This window comes from Homo sapiens, chromosome 20 (genome assembly GCF_000001405.40).
Source record: "Homo sapiens chromosome 20, GRCh38.p14 Primary Assembly".
Classification (NCBI taxonomy): domain Eukaryota; kingdom Metazoa; phylum Chordata; class Mammalia; order Primates; family Hominidae; genus Homo; species Homo sapiens.
Window position 1 is genome coordinate 38,669,111 of NC_000020.11, and position 17,408 is coordinate 38,686,518.

The following is a 17,408-nucleotide window of genomic DNA, read 5'->3' on the forward strand; positions in this document are numbered from 1 at the left end:
ATGTGATGTAACTGAAAGCTGGGTTGGGATGAGAGGCACAATGGCACACCACATACTAGAGGCAGGCACATCCACAGCTCATGACAACGCTGGGTGAGAAGGGCTGCAGTTACTTTGCACTGGACCAGCATCAGACCAGCAGCCTTGGCACCACATGGGTGCTGGTGAGAGAGGCAGAAGCTAAGGTTCACCCCAAATCAACTGTATCAGCATTTGTGCTTTAACCAGATCTCCAGGCGATTCATGAGCACATCCAAGTTTGAGAAACTCTGCTCCAATAAATGGATCTGTAAAAACCTTTTCTGGGGCCTGACATGGCATGGTGGCTCATGTCTGTAATTCCAGCACTCTGGGAGGCCAAGGTGGGAGGATCACATGAGGCCAAGAGTTGAAGACCAGCCTGGGCAACAACATACTGAGACACCTGTATCTACAATAAAATAAAATAAAATTAGCTGGGCATGGTGGTGAGTGCCTGTAGTCCCAGCTACTCAGGAGGCTAAGGTGGGAGGATCCCTTGAGCCCAGGAGTTTGCGGCTGTGACGATCAATGATTGTGGCAGTGTACCTCAGTGTGGGCAACAGAGTGAGACCCTGTAGAAAGAAAGAAAAGAAAGAAAGAGAGAGAGAGAGAGAGAAAGGGAGGGAAGGGAAGGATGGGAAGGAAGGGAAGAAAGAAAGAAAAAGGAAGAAAGAAAGAAAGAAGGGAAGAAAGAAAGAAAGAATGAAAGAAAGAAAGAAAGAAAAGAAAGAAAGAAAAGAAAGAGAGAGAGAGAAAGCAGATGGAAATAACCATACCTAGAAGGGTCAGAGAAACCTTCCCAGGAAGAGTGGCATAAGAATTGGGTTTCAAAGGATGAGTAGGAGTTTTCCATACAGATAAGAGGTAAGAATGGGGAAAGGAATTGTTGAGAGGGATGAGTATGGACAAAGGTATAGAGTGGGGAAAAAGTGGTGTGGAGAGGGCATGGGGTGTAGTGGGAGGAGACGAGGCTAGAGAAGTGGGTTCCCAAAGTGTCACCTGACCAGCAGCATCTGTGTGCTGGAAACTCTTGTGAAATGCAAATTATGAGGCTCCCCTCCTAAATCTACTGAATCAGAAATTCTGGAGGTGGGACTAGAATCTGTATTTTTTATTTTTTATTTTTATTTTTTGAGACTGAGTCTCAATCTGTCACCCAGGTGGAGTGCAGTGGTGCAATCTCGGCTCACTGCAACCTCCGCCTCCCAGGTTCAAACGATTCTCCTGCCTCAGCCTCCCGAGTAGCTGGGACTACAGGAGTGCGCCACCATGTCCAGCTAATTTTTGTATTTTTAGTAGAGACGGGGTTTCACCATGTTGGCCAGGATGGTCTCAAACTCCTGACCTCAACTGAGTCCTGATTTCTGAGAGACAGACAACGGCATGTGTGTGACTGACAAGTGGGCTCTGCTGAGCACCGATGGGTTTGCTGATGGGACAGTTATGGAGAAGAAATCTCCTGAAAGCATCCTCCACCTTGAACTCAAACTCACTAGTGACCTTGGCTGAGATGTCACTTCCTCTGTAAAGCCTTCTCCCTGCCAGCCACTCTCCATCGCTGTGACCCCACTGCCTCCTCAGCCCTCCCCATTACCTCTCAAGCTGTTCTCTAATGGCTTAGCTGTCCTTCCAGCACAAGGCCAGGACCTTGTACATCTTGGTATGACATCCCCAGCACACTGCCTGACGTTACCCCCATTCCAGCAGCTCACTCTTGATTGAGTACTTACTGAGTGTGAGCATCATGCCACGGGCTTTACCGGAGCTGTGTCATTTAAACCTGAGAACTGCCCTATGAAATGGGTACTATTGTTGTCAACCCCATTTTACAGATGAGGAGACTGAGGCACAGGAAATAAAATACACTGCTCAAAGCCACATGGCTGGTAAGCCACAGGCAGCCTGCCTCCAATAGACAAACACATTTTGTTGTTGTTATTGTTTTTGTGCTTGTTGCAGGAAGGGAGGGAAAGGGGGAGGGAAAAGTGGGATTTCCTGAGCATCTTTATCACCCATGAGGTCCACAGTGCCCTCCCAGACTGCTGGCTATTCTCCCTTCACTCTGAGGGACACTGCGGAAGGACCTGGAAGAGCTGAGCCTTGTCCAGGAGCAGTGGCTGCTTTATTTAGGGCCTAATGAGCCAGTGTCTCTGCTGTGACTCAGCCACGGCCCAGGGGTCTCCAGGGAGAGGGGACTGTCTGCAGGCCCTGGCTAGCAACTCTCTGCTAACAGCACCTTTCAGCTCCCGCTCTCTCAGCTGCTGTAGCCATTAGTGCTGAAATTAGCATCGTAATTGCCTTTTAACTATTCTTAGCTGTGAAAGAGACCAGGCTGCCCCGCCTCTCCCTCCCTGCCTAGAGAGCAGTGTTGGCTTCCCTTCCTGGATCTAAGGACCACCCCCTGTCCACACTCCCGAGCCTCAGTTTCTTCATCCTCCAAGTGAGGGTGATAATCCAAGCTTCAAAGGCTTATTGTGATGCATATAAAATGCTTGTCATAGTTCCTAGCACACTGTGAGCAATGATGCCAGTTGTTGTGTTTGGAGACCCAGGAGTGCAAGGATATGTATGCAAGTCCATGTCATAACCAGCGTTAGTGCTCAGGTCCTTTTGACTCTGAGCTTAGGGCTCTTCCTGTCCCACCGTGTCAATCCTTAAAATGTGCCTTTCCCTGCCAACAATGGCTTGTTTGTAGGCTGGGCAGTCACTCTTGTAATCCCAGCATTTTGGGAGGCCAAAGGGGAAGAATCACTTGAGGCCAGGAGTTGGAGGCCAGCCTGGGCAATGTATCGAGATCCCACCTCTACAAAAAATTTTAAAAATTACATGGGTGTAGTGGAGTGCTCCTATAGTCCCAGCTACTCAGGAGGCTAAGGTGGGAGGATCACTTGAGCCTGGGAGGTTGCAGTGAGCCAAGGTCACACCTCTGTACTCTAGGCTGGACAGCAGAGTGAGATCCTGTCTCAAAACAAAACAAAACAAAACAAAACACAATCATATGAGATGACAGTAAACAAGATCTTGCCTGAAAACATTCAGCTTTGTCATCATAATTAGAAGATTTTTACTACAAAAAAATCAGGCCTCGGTGAAGAGAGGGGACTCACCCCAAAGGAGTTGCAACCACTGGGTCATCTAGTTTGCCCTCTTAAAAGTGTGAACACTAACTTTTGATATGCAGCAAAAGGTTGAAGGGACGGATGATGAAGCCCAGCTGCCTGGTTCCAGTCCAGTTCTGCCACTCCCCCCAGGGTGACCTTAGGCCAGTTACTTAACCTCTCTGTGCTTCGGCTTCCTATTCTGCAAAATGAGGATAATAATGCCTTTCCGGCAAGTGTGTTCTGAGGTATGAATCAGTCAATGTAGTGAAGCACCTGGCACAGCAGTAAGACACAGTGAGAACCAGGTAAGTGTTTGCTCTTATTACTCATTAGGCATCTTTACTTACTTGCTTGTGTGGCTTCTAAACTGCAGTTTGGGGAGGGGGTTCTGCAATCATCAGCAGCAAATTGTTTTTAGGCCAGTCACCATCACATGGACGATGTTTTCTTACCCTTGGTTTAGACTTGAATCCCAATCAGGCCAGGAGGGGAGATCCCCAGGCTGACCCCGTTTAAGGTGCAAAAACTGAGGCTTGAGAAAGTTAAGTAACTTTCCCAAGATACACACATTATAAAAAGAGGAGCCTGGCCTTGAATTCGGTCAAGTCTCCAGTGCTGGGCACCAAGTAGCAGGCCCCTCAGCTGGCCCTGCATCTTCTTGGGCCTCCCCATAACCCCTGTCAGCAATCCCCGTTTAATGCGAACACCATATCCTTCCCTCCTGGCGGAGGCATATCTGGCAGTGCTTAAAAGCACAAATAAGCTGAGATTGATATGAGGATGAATTGAATTAACATTTATACGACCAGTACAGGGCGTGGCACAGGATGAGTGCTAAGTTAGTAATATTTATGATGATGATGACTATTACTATTATTATTCTGAGACAGGGTCTCACTCTGTTGCCCAAGCTAGAGTGCAGCGGTGCAATTAAGGCTCACTGCAGCCTCCACCTTCAGGGCTCAGGCGATCCTCCCTCCTCAGCTTCCTGGGTAGCTTAGACTACAGGCGCGTGCCACCATGCCCAGCTAATTTATTTATTTATTTTGTAGAGAAGAGGTCTCACTGTGCTGCCCAGGTTGCTCTCAAGCTCCTGGGCTCAAGCGATCCTCCTGCCTCGGCCTCCCAAAGTGTTGGGATTACAGATGTGAGTCACTGCACCTGGCCTATTATTATTTAGCTCGGAAAATCAACCCTAATGACCTCACCGGATACACCACTTCCAGGCTTGGATTTTAGGTTCCCTACACAATTTAGGGCTGTGTCCTGGCTTTAAATATGTAAATGCTGCTGTGAGAAACACATCCTCGGGAGGGAGAAGGGGTGGGCTCAGAACCTAAGACTTTCCAGGAACTCAGATGGGGACTTGGGAAAGCTGTAAAGAAGAGGTCCCTGATCTTATGAAGTTTATGGAAAACTACCTAATTACAAAATTACTTCACGCCTTGAAAAAGAACGGAATGAACAGGACGCTATCATACAGAATAACGGAGGGGTGGGGCTCCACTTCTGATCAGAGGGTCAGGGAGGACCTCTTGGAGGCGGTGATAGTTAAGCTGACACCTGAAGAAGCCAGTCATGCAAAGAGTGGGTCAACAGCTTTCCAAGGCAGAGGGAATCAGGAAAGCGATGGGCTTGTCTGAGGAACAGAAAGGACAACGAACGTGTGAGTCACACTAAGGGGCGCCGTGGTGCGGCATGAGGCTGGAGCCTGATCACTCGGGGTCTTACTGGCCACGGTGAGGAGTCAGGGTTTCATGCGCCCCTGCAGTCAGAAAGCATGGCCCAACCCCAGTGCCCTAAGTCCGGAAACATTCAAAGCTGGACCCAGGGTAGCGGGATCCGGGGCCTCTGGGGACCCGAGAGGGACGTTAAGTTCAGGGCTTCAGGGTGCAGCCCTGGGGTCGGTACCCCCAGCCTCCAACCCAGAGCTGGCAGCGCTCGCCCCCTTCTCCGCGCGGGCCCTCAGCTCAGCTCCCTCTTCGCTCCCCGTGTCCCCGCGAGCGGGAGGGAGGGGATGCTAGGACGCCCTGTCGGCGTCGTCGCCGCTTTCCGCCATTGTTTAGTCGTGATGCTCTCATTTTCTCTGAATCAACAATTTTCTGCTCGGCTCCGCGCCGACCGGCGAACGCGGGGCTTTTCCTCGCCCGCCTGATGACAGCAGAGCGGCGCGGAGCAGCTGGTCCGGAAGGAAGCGCCAGGCGCCTGCCCGGTCCCAGGCGTCCGCTGCCGCCCACCCACACCAGACCCCGCCCCCGCGCGTCAAGCCCCGCCCATCCATACCAAGTCCCGCCCCCACACCCTCACCCACACACCAGGCCGTCCCCACCCCGCCCCCAGAGCCCCGGGGCGCCCCGCCCGCTAGCCGCGCACGCGCAGTGAGCACGGCGACCCCCGGTGGTCGGGTGTCTCCGCAGGCCGAACACGCTGCTCGCCCAGCTGCGGATCATTACCGCCCTTTTGTTCTCCGTCGCGCGCTCGCCCCACGCTAGGAATGCAAACTGTAGGCGCCGCCAGCCCCCCCTTCCTGTTTCCCTGGGTGGGAGTGGGAAGGGAGTTTTAAACTGAATTGTGCTCAGACTCCCAGCCCAGTCTTCCCGGAGCCATCCGTTCCTTCATCCAATGCGGACACCCATATCTAAGGTTCGGGCAGGATTTCCGGGGCACCCTCAAACCCAGCCCGTGGGATCCGGGAAGGCCTCCTGGAGGAGAGTCCACGAGGCACGGAGCCGAGGATGGGGTTGGGGTTAGGTCTTGGAGGGCTTCGAATTTCCGGCAAAGGGTCTGGGATGGTTCTTGAGGACAGCAGGGATTTGCAGGGAGGCTGGGGGTGGAGGTGGGCAGAGGTCTTGCTCACATTTGTGTTCTACAAAGGTCCTTTTGGCTTTTGGGAGGCGGAGACTGAGACTGGAGTCCAGAGGACCAAGGAGGACGAGGTAACTGCCGTGGTCCAGGTGGGAGAAAATGTCGGTGAGGTCTTGGGGGATAGAACGCAAAAGAAGACTAGGGAGTAAAATTTACAGAACCAGTGGCTAGTCAAGTTTAGGGGTGAGGGGGAAAATGAGGACACCCCCAAGATTCTGACTTCCGTGACCATATGGGCGGGGGGACGTCTCCTGAGAAACTGGGAAGGAATGAGGGTTGCTGGGCTGAGCAGATGAGGGAGACCTCGTTCTCCCACCCCCTTCCTAACCTTGTACTTTCCACACCTACGTAAGTAGGCCCTCGTTTCACACAGGCCTCTGTTCAGCGTCCCTTCCTCTGAGAGGCCTTTGCTGACCACCTTTTGTAAGACCCTCCCCATCCCCATACCCTACCCACTGTTTCTTCACGGCACTGACCACCCAAAGTTGTATTTGGATTTGTCTATTGGTTTCTTTTCTGTCTCCCCCACAAAACTGTGAGCTCCTTGAGGACAGGGGCTTTGCTCGGTTCTTTGCAGTATTTCCAGGACCTGGGACACCATTGCCTAGTCTCTGCCTAAAGAATGCATGAATGAATGAATGAGGCAGTGCAGGGTCCAGGCCTTGCTGGTTCATCACTGCATTCTGAGCTGAGCACTAAATAGCAATTTGCTCAATAAATGCATGAATGGATGGATAGTTGCTTCACAACCTAGTAGATAAAATCTAGGCCGGGTGTAGTGGCTCATGCCTATAATCCCAGCACTTTGGGAGGCCGAGGTGGGTGGATCACTTGAGGCCAGGGGTTCAAGACCAGCCTGGCCAACATGGTGAAACCCTGTCTCTACTAAAAATACAAAAATTAGCCAGCCGTGGTGGTGCGCACCTTTAGTCCCAGCTACTTGGGAGGCTGAGGCAGGAGAATCACTTGAACCCAGGAGTCAGAGGTTGCAGTGAACCAAGATCACACCACTGCACTCCAGCCTGGGTGACAGAGTGAGACTCCGTCTCAAAACGAAACAGCCTGGTAGGTAAAATCTAGAGTCATAATGTGAGGAGCAGTACCGTGAGATACCATCAGGATAATGGATTAATAATAGCCCATGTTTATTGAGCGCCTCCTTCACACCAGGGCTGTGTTGCCTGCTGCAGATGGGTTATCTCAGTTAGTCCTCATGTCATCCCTATGAAGTAAGGACTCTTGGTGGCTCCATTTACACACATGAGGAAAATGAGGCCCAGAGAGGTTGAATGATATGCCCAAATTCACACAGCTAGTAAACGGCAGGGCCAGGATCTGAACCTAAGGTGGTTGCACTATTACCAAGTCACAGCACAGTACATGGATGCTATGGCTTGGTGGAAAGGGTCAAAAGCATCCCCACACCCAGTCCAAGGCTCCTCCTAACTTAGATGATTTCTTCTCAAAGGGTCAGAGGCTCCATGTTGCCCCAGCCAGGCCCAGAACAGCAGCAGAGGTCTGGCTGAGTAGAGAGATGCTGATACTAAGTCTACCTGGCCAGTCCTCGACTGTGGGACCAGCACTCCACTTCATGTGTGTGTTATAACATTCGATCTTCAGAGCAAACTTGGTGAGGCCCTCGCGGTAATCATTCCCATTTTCCAGATGGAGAAAGTGAGGCGTAGTGAGGTAAACCAGCTTACCTAGGGCCACACAGCTATTGTGTGGGACAGCTGGTGTCCAAACCCAGGCAGGCTGATTCCAGATCCCACCTCTGTGCTTCCTTTAAGCTGACCACAGCAGGAGGCTGGATGAGGCCAGGCCAGCTCAGGCTGGCCATTCTCAGTGCCAGATGGTGGCTGCCAGGCATGGCTGGAGCGGTGTTTACCCTGTGGCCATTCTGCCTCTGCCCATTGAGAGGGCAGCCCTCTCAATCATCATAAACCGAGGCTGAACCAAGATAGCAAATCCGCATCCTCCATCCCCTGTCACTGGACATCCTGTATTCAATCACCCACATATTCATTTCTTCTAATCTTTCTCTCTTGACTGTGATAAAGTCACTTTTATAGTGCTGAGAACGTGCAGTTCATTTGAATTAAGTCTGCTGGAGTAGATTAGTTTGTGTGGGAAAATCAGGGCTATAAAAGAAGGCATATTTCAATGGTTCTTTTAACTGATTATGCTCTAGGGTCTTATTGTAAGAATCTCATTTGGGGTGTGGGGTGTGTGTGTGTGAGAGAGAGAGAGAGAGAATTGCACACTCACTTCTAGAACCCTGGAGTGCTGAGGAAGACCACCTAGAAGCCTCCCTATAGGAAGGGTCTGGGCTTCCCTTAGAGAAATGATGAAGGGAACTCTGCTATTATCTCCATCAGGTGGTGGCTGCCCAACCTCTGGGGAATGGGGCAGATAATTCACTCTCATGTAGGAGGGCCCTAAAAGACTTGGGTGCAGCTGAAGATGATCAGCTCATGCCCAACAGAGTGCAATGGCAAAGAAAAGTGGACTGATTTGAATGCCTCCAGAGCCCCATCTGGGAGGAGAGGGTAGGCAGACATTGCCAATCTGAGGGTTATTATGCAGTTACTGTCTGCCTTTCCTGGGAGCTCTTTGAAGATAGTCCTGTTCATCACTGTCTGCCCAGTGCCTGACCCTTTGGAGGCCCTCAGTAAACATTTGGTGAATGAAAGGATGGAGAGAATGAGGAGAGCTGGCCATCAACACCAGCTGTCTACCTGGGCCAATAGAGAAGTTGCCCCTAGGAAGGGTAGACCCAGCAAAGGTCCAGGGCATCAGGGTTTCCAGACCCAGCAGCTCATGCTTGACATTCAAGCCTCAGAAGCAACTGTCTTCAAGGGACTATGTGAGTTTGGACAATGAGCATTTCAGCAGTGGCCAGTGGAAATGGAAGAAAAGAGGATTCTCCCCACATGACCTGCTCTGGATAAACCCTTGTGACCTTTCTTCCACTGGCAGGGGTAGGGGTGTGGTGAAGAAGCTTCATTAGGACAAATTAATTTCCTTCTTGGCCAGGTGGATGGGGATTTAAAACTGACCCCATTTGATTCAAAGAAATAAGTGATGGGATGATTCTGGCTCCTAAAATTATGGGGTTAATTCAACTTATTTCAGGAGTATTAAATGGGGTTGTACAAGTGCCCCTGGTCCTAGGAGAACCTCTTTTAAGTTCCTCCACCTGTCAAGATGACTACTTTGTTACAAGAGCTAGAATCTACAAGAGGCCAGGTCTGCTAGGGCCTCCCAACTGATGGTACAACAGACAACCTGTGGCTGAAGGGAGAGACCTTCTAAAACAGCCAGCCTTGGCCAGAGCTGTCATGTCTAAGGACAGCATGTCACTAGTTCCCCCAGGCCCCTCTGCCTCAGCACCCTCTCCTCTCCAGTTACCTCCTACTCTCTCCCTCCAGAGAGGAATTGCAGCATGGGGTGATTGATGGCTATCAGGTATGTGATTATGCATGTGTGTCCAAACCCACCTATGTGGGCATGCTCTGTGCGTTTGTATGTTTGCTCTCTGTATATGAGAATACGCGTGTACATGAACTTGCATGCTCTGTTAGGGATGTGCTTATGTGTGTGTGCACATAGAGTCTAGGTTCTGTGTATGTGTGTGCATGTGTCTCTGTGCATGTATGGACTATCACATATAGTCACACTGTATGTGTGACTGTGTGACCACAGGATACAGGGCCCTTTGATGATAGAGGGAACTCCCCCACCACCTCCCCTGCACCCAGAGCAAGAGGGCTTGTGTTGGCAATGGACTGGCCTTCTGTAGGAAAAGTCCACCCACTGAGGGGCCTAGGTAGATCTAGTCACAGCCTCGCATTAGCTGCTTCCCTGCCTCAGAATTCTCCTGGGTGGTCAAGCCACGGAGAAGCAAGTGGCTCCCATAGCAGGAAGAAACAGTGACAATCTCAGGTACCCTGTCTGAAGGGACAGTGTGGTCCTGGCCTGTGGTTGTTCAGGATTCTAGTGTATAGATGGGGTGGTAACTTCCAAGCCATCCACCACTTTTCTCTCCTCCACCAATGCAGGGGTAACATCCATCAGGCAAGGTGCTGGCAGTTTTCATCCTGGCTCTAAGTCCTTAGGAAAGTCATGTCACCTCTCTGAGCCTTACTTTTCTCATGAGATAGAAAACCTCACAAGATTGTTAAGAATTACATAAAAATTAAATCCTGTGTAAAATGAGAAAATACCTTCTGACTAGCCACTTCCTGAGGGCATGGGCATGTCAACTTATCTTCGTGTCCTCGTGCTTTGCCTGGGATCTGGTGTATGGCAAGCTCTCACCTCATATTTCTATAAACAATTTTGAAATATGTAAGCCTTTGCAGCTTCCCAACATAAATTCATTCACTCATTTATTAATTCAGTACACTTTTATGGAGCATCTACTATATGTTTGACACTATTTGGGGTATTGGGAATAGAGCTGTCAATAAAAGGGCTTACTTTCTAGTGCACATTAGCATACTAAAGGCTCTGAGAAGTCCAGCAGTACCAGGTTTCTGATAAACTTTGTTTAACCCAGCAGTCTCTGTGTTTAATTATGGAATTCCCCACACCTCTTTCAACCTTTTTTTTGCTAATATGCAAATTTAATCCTGTTCCATTCCTCATTACCTGTTACACTCCCAACTCTAAGCCCCTTCAGAAGGGCTATGGAATATAATAATTAAAACAACTACTCTGGAGCCAGACACCTGTGTGTGTGATCCTGGGTAAGCCTCAATTTATTCATGTGTAAAATGGTGATAATGGCTAGGATTAAGTGAGATAATGTTGCATCTCCAATGCTCAGCATTGTGCCTGGAATGTAGTATAATTCATTTAAATAACACCTATCACTCCAGGTCTCCTCAACACCTATGAGGTAAGGCCAATTGTCCTACATGATACCCAATGCCCTAATTGCCTCCCCAGAGTTATCTGAAATCATTCTCCTCCAACTCTCTTTTATGAGCTGGTCATTCGGAACCACTTGCCAGTTCCCATGGCTCTCAAACAGCCGCCTGTTGTTTCATACCTTTGCTCTCATGTTGCTTCCTCTTCTTAAAATTTTCTTCTCAGTCTTTCCTACCTGGAGAACATACATTACATTCATCTCCCGAGTCATCCCCTAATCACCTCCTCCATTAAACACGTACTCACTGCCTGATCCTTCAGCCCCAACTGATCCACCAGCCAACTGTATTTGCATGAGTTATCCAGGCAAGACCAGTAGAGGAATCACCCAGTTCATCTACAGAATCATGAGAAAATAATATGTCATTATTGTTTTAAGCCTTTAAGTTTTGGAGGTAGTTTGGTATGCAGCAATAGACAACTAATGCAAGCTCCTTGAGGCCAATAATAACTAACTTCAACTCATCTTCATCTCGCACCTTGTCATTCAGAGGAGTACATGGGGACCCCTAGGACCATTGGTGAAGCCAGGAGAGAGTGAATGCCCTTGGTTGTCTCCATTCCAGACTAGAGGGGGGATAAATGAGGGACCTCCACTAAAACATCAGTGGAAGGACCCTAGGAAGAATGAACTGTCTAGAGAACAGACCAACAGATCCTCAGCGGACACTGTGAGCTGTCCAGGGTCCTGAGTATTCTGTTCTAGGGGAACACAGTGCCATGCTCTGATCTGCCCACTCCTGTGCCAGGGTCACCCTACTCAAGACCCGCCCTAGTGATTGTTATGCTGACATCTGAGAGAACCAGCCTTATAGTGGGAATAGAGGATTTGACATCTGCTCAAATGGAATTGAAGTTGATTCTTACACCTTCACCCTTCCTTCTCCCTTCCACCCTCCCTCTCAGGAACGATTTGACCATTATAATAAAAATCCAGCTTTATGTAAATACCCTATCCTCCAAGTAATAAATGCCATTAGCTGAGCCTGACTGAGCAATCGCATGCTTTTAAACATCCATTTGAAGATCTTTGAAAGCTCTCTCGAGGCTCTTGCTCATAATTCACTAAGTGGGAGTTGGTAATAACTGTGTTAAATGGCCAGGCCCTGCAATTCGCGGAGGTGTGTCTGTTTGTGTGTTGGTGGTGGTAGTGGCAGGGGGTGCTGGGAAGAGGATGCCCTTCCTTCCATGCTGATCGGTTACTTATTTTTAAGAGTCCCACTGGGGGCTCACAGTCCTTTGATGAGCTACTAATGAAAGAGCCAGATCTAACAATTAATTTCCCCAGAGTTATTATTTATTGTTTTGGCAACATTTCTCTGAAAAGCCTTAATACTCACCTGGCTTCCTGATGGTTGAGGAGAACCATGGGTTGAGAAGAGAAATTAGTTTTACCTGTTTATTCAACAATCATGAATTGAGCACCTGTGTGTGCCAGGCACTGCACTGGAGCAAGATACACCCCTGCCTTCAGAGAGTCCCCAGTTTGGTGGGGGGCAAGATAGGGAAGGGAGCAGGCATAACAATACAGTCTAATACCTATGATAGAGGGGACAATGTAGGGGGCTGTGGGAGCCAGGGGTGGCACATAGCCAAGATTGAAGGAGTCAGGGAAGGCTACAAGAGGAAGAGTCCTTAATGATGACCTAGAGCTAACAAGATAAATAAAAAATAGGGAAAGGAAATACTGTGAGAAGAAGGACCAGTATCTTCAAAGACTCTTAGAAGAGAAAGAGCATCCATAAAATTCTGGTGAGATAGTGTAGTACTGAGAACTTTGTCACTGCTGGTGGGAGTGTAAATTTGTATAGCCATTTGGGTAAACAGTTGGACGCTATGTAGTAAATTTGGAGATATGCAAGCCCTTCAACCCAGCAATTCCATTTATGTCTAGAGATACTTCTGTATGTATACAACATTAGGAGACATATACATAATAATCAGAGCAGCATGGTCTGTAATAGGCAATGACTGGAAACAACCAAAAACCTATCAAAGGCAGAATGAGTAATTGTGGTGTAATCATACAACAGAATACTATACAGTAGTGAAAATGAATGAACCACAGTACACTTCACAACATGGATAATTTTTATATTGACACAAATACATACAACATGACTTCATTTATATTAAATTCAAAGCAGATAAAGCTGAAATATTGTCCTGGGATATTTACTAAGGTGGTAGATATATAAAAGAAAGCAACAAAATGGTTGACCATAGTGTTTTATTTCAGGGGGAGGAAGGGACATGATTGGGGTGGATCACATGGGGAGTCTCAGGCGACATATATGTCTTGATTTGAGTGGTGCTCACATAGATGTTTAGAATTTTTAAATAAATTGTGCACATTTATATCTTTTATATGTTTCTAAGCTTGTGATATATTTCAATATTTTTGTTAAAAGAGGCAAAAAAGCATCATTGTAGCCTGAGTCACTGGGTCCTTCTCTGAACATAACTGTGAGAAGCCTGGCACACCAATGGGAGGGCTGAGGGTGGCTCTCAGGGGACCCTCTGGTGCCAGCATCCTTCTTGGCTGTGTTTCTGTGTGGTGAATAGGCAACCCCACAATGGCAGTACCAAGGGCCACATAGGATCTGAAGTTCTTTTGGATGCTTCTTAGATCATCTCCATGAGATATGGCATGGCTTTGTCATCCAGAAGACCACCAGATGGCTAAACAGTAAAAAAGAGCTTTATAGGTAATATCAGTTTGTAAGCTGGGAAGAGAAAGTCTCCAGCATGGATTAAAGGTGCTCTCTCTTTGAAGAGAGAAAGGACAGGTTGGATTTTCTGCCTCACAGCGTCCATGTTACACAATAGAGTCATACATAGTCAGCAGGTTTAGGGGAAAAGGTATATACATTCATGAGGGGAGCTGAGCACATCCACGCACACTAGGTAAATATGTATGTAACATACATCCCATGTTCACTTTGGGGTGGGGTTTTAGCATTAAAATGAGGTAGAATTTGGCTCTTTATATCAAAAGGTGAACTATAGGACAGAAAGATAGTTTGCACACAGCCTCTATAAGCTAGCTGAAAATGGCTTAAGGTCTGCAATTGCTTATGATAAAAGAATGCAAGCTCAGTCCTCTGTCTAGTCAGAGCTGTAGTGGTCTGGGTTGTAAATCAGAGCTAGGAGGGGTCTGATAGCTCCTATTGTTAGGGAGCTTAGAGCTATAGGAATTTAGAAATGTGCCAGGCCAGTCAGGACCTGAACCCTTAACCAATAGGTAACTTTGTTTCCTTAACGTTTGGGTTCATCTTAGTTGATAAAGGGGCATCTATTTTGGCCTCTCAGATCTCTCCTTAGTTTCCAGAGGACCCCACATGGGCCTGGGTGTGAGTTTCACAGGGTAAAATGGAGTCAGGTGATGCTCTGGGAGAACCTGAGAAGAGAGACAGCATTGCTTTGTCTTTCCACTTGCAAGTCCCCAGGATGGGTTAGGATTGTAAGGTGCTATCTGGCCCCAAAATCCAACTTCAGGGCAGGGTCTCTCCTAGATGGACTCTGCAGTGGGCACACTAGAATGAACATTGCCATGAGGATCTTGCCTGGTTCCAGGTGACTCTGAATCTTTAACATAAATGGACCTTGATCCCAATCTGGGGAAGAAGATGGGTGTTCCCAGGTTGTAGCAGCTGGGAAGGATCTCAGTGGTCTCTTGTATCCAGCCCTTAGGACTTTTTGGCTTTTGATTAGCTCTCAAGCCAACTTTATAGTTGTTCATTTATAAGAGTAATATATTCTTTCAGAACAATTATACAATGTGGAAATGAATATAGAAAGTATTATGGTTTCCCTTATAATCTCATGTTGCAAACAAACAAACAAAATAAACAAACAAACAAAAAACAATATTAAGGCCGAGCTTGGTGGCTCATTCCTGTAATCCTAGTACTTTGGGAGGCCGAGGTGGGAGGACTGCTTGAGCCCAGGAGTTTAAAGCCAGCCTGGGCAACATAGAGAGACCTGGTCTCTAAGAAGAATAGAAAAATTAGCCAGATGTGGTGGCGTGCACCTGCAGTCCCAGCTACTGGGAGGCTGAGGTGGGAGGATCGTTTGAGCCCAGGAGGTTGAGGTTGCAGTAAGCCATCACACACAAAAAGTAAATAAAAATAAGAAAAGAAAAGAAATCAATATTAATAGTCTGGCATATTTTCTTCCACACATTATTCCAAGCTCATACACATATGTACAAACACAGTCTGGAGCTCATACACATATATACAAAAACAGTCTGGAGCTTTCTTCTTTTTTGTTTCGAAAAATGGGATCATGCTACGCTCATTACTCTGTGATTTGACATTTCACATTATAATAGATCATGGATATCATTCAAGATCAGCCCTTCCAGATCTAATAGACTTTTTTTTTTCAATAGCTGTATAATATTCCCCAGTTTGGATGTAGCAGAATTTACTCAACCTGTCCGCTGTTGATAGACTTTTAAGTAATTTCCATTTTTTGCCACTACAAATAATGTTCAGGAAACATCCATTGCTTATATCTACATGTCCTAATGCATTTCTTTGTGTAGGATAAATCCCCAAAGCTAAACTGTGAGTGAAAGAATGCACTTTTCTATTTTAACAAGTCCTGACAGATTACTTTCTCAAGATGTTGTAGTCTTTCACACTTCCACCAATGACATAGGACATTCTCATTTCTCTACACCCTACACTGGCTGCTATCAACTCACAACGTTCTCTTCCCTCAATATGATGAGCAGATGAGCAAAGCAGAAAAACAGCAGAAATAAAAACAACACCAAAACTTATTTTATTCTATTTGCACTTATCTGATTACTATTAAGGTTGGTTATTTTCTCAAATGTTTGTTCATTGTTTGTATTTTCTTCTCCAAGAAATGCTTATTCATATCACTTATCCATCTTTGTATCAGGTGGTTTCCCTTTTTATTACTGATTTGCTGAAGATCTTTGCATATTAAGTGATTAAGTGTGTCTCTTGCATGATCCTTCATTTATAAAGATAGAAAATGATAAATGATAACAGAGGGGAAGTGAGTTGTCCAAGGATATGAGAATGCAAGTGTCAGTGCTAGACAGGGTCATGCCTCTAGATTCCCTGCCCAGGGTTTAATCCCTGGCCCGCTCCATAGCTCAGACCCTTGTGGACAACTTTCTGGGAATTACCAGAACACATTTTCTCAGAGTATGAGCTAAAGACTTCCTTCATCAGAATTATCTGGTGCTTCATTAAAATTCAGATTCTGGGACCACATCCCAAACCTATTTATTGAGTCAGAATCTCTAGAAGTGGGGCCAAGGAATCTAGATTTTAAGAGAGCTTTTTAGATTGTCCTTGTATCCACCAAAATTAGAGAACAATTACCCCAGAAACTCAAAGTCCTTGCAGAGGCACTGAGTGGGAAGAGAGGGGTAGGAAAGCTAATGGGAACATTGTGTAGCGACTCCCACCACCACCACCACCATCACCACCAGCTGAAGAAAGAGCCCTCAAGGTTGAAGCATCAAAACAGAGCTATCACTGGGGACCTTTTGGCCTAATTCTGCCCTTAAGCCACAATCAAGCCTTTGTGGCAGTAGGGGTGAATGTAATATATCACTTTCTTATCGGTATAAAGGTGTAAATGTCAATTTCTCCTCCTTTTTGTGAAGATTTGACAAAGCACTTAGAGCGACACCCATTTTAATCAACAAAGCAGCCAGAAAGATCACAGGGCATCAAGTGTGCCATATCCTATCTGAGCTTTGGGTGGATTTGAAAATTGCACTTTTAATTAAAATTGGCATTTCCGCAGCTCAGATTGGAGCTCGCCGTTTTGCTAGGGAATTGCAAACTGCGAGGCAAACAATCTGAGAGGGAGGTTTAAGAATACGAAGAGGAAGGCTTGTGTATGAACAGGAGGCGCTTGTTTAAATAATGAAGCGGAGAAAAGATAATGTAAAAATGCCTTTGTCTATGTTTAGTTAGGTTTCCTCAGAGACCCGGGTAATTGCGGCTGAGCTGTCCGAGGTGCTGACGGCTGGGCGAGAGGAGCGGTTGAATGTATGCACAACGCCCAGAGGTAAATGCCTGGTCCACAGTTCTCAGCCCAATCAAGTTTGCCCTGCTTTATGGGTTTCTTCTTGGCCAATGACAAACAAACTTCCAGGCAGGTGATTAGTAACTTTTGTGGATTGAACGAATGAATGATTGCTGACCACCTACTATGTATAGTATATGGTGCTCTGAAAAATGGGAAAAATGTCAACCGAAATTGTTGGATCCTTTTCTTGTGATGTTGCAGTCAACCTCACAATTGATCTTGTTGTGAGATTTCAGGATTTTGTGAACCAGAAAAATTGCAAGCCATCAAGGACAATGCCAAGCGAAGACATTTAAGAGTAACAACTATCACCTGTTCTCTCCAATGCTTGAATAAAACAAAAGGCATTTTAAAACTTAATAAGTAGGAAAGCCATAATCTCAGAATAAGGAACAGTTA

At 47.0% G+C, this 17,408-nt stretch overlaps 2 annotated features.

The window, feature by feature from the left end:
* Positions 5,347–5,456: a silencer, noted in NCBI's record as "silent region_12901". NCBI's record gives its function as "represses an Ori minimal core promoter by ATAC-STARR-seq in GM12878 lymphoblastoid cells {active_cell/tissue: GM12878}" and the evidence as "EXISTENCE:reporter gene assay evidence [ECO:0000049][PMID:35858748]".
* Positions 16,833–17,033: a silencer, noted in NCBI's record as "peak4211 fragment used in MPRA reporter construct". NCBI's record gives its function as "represses an SCP1 promoter by STARR-seq MPRAs in K562 erythroleukemia cells {active_cell/tissue: K562}" and the evidence as "EXISTENCE:reporter gene assay evidence [ECO:0000049][PMID:32103011]".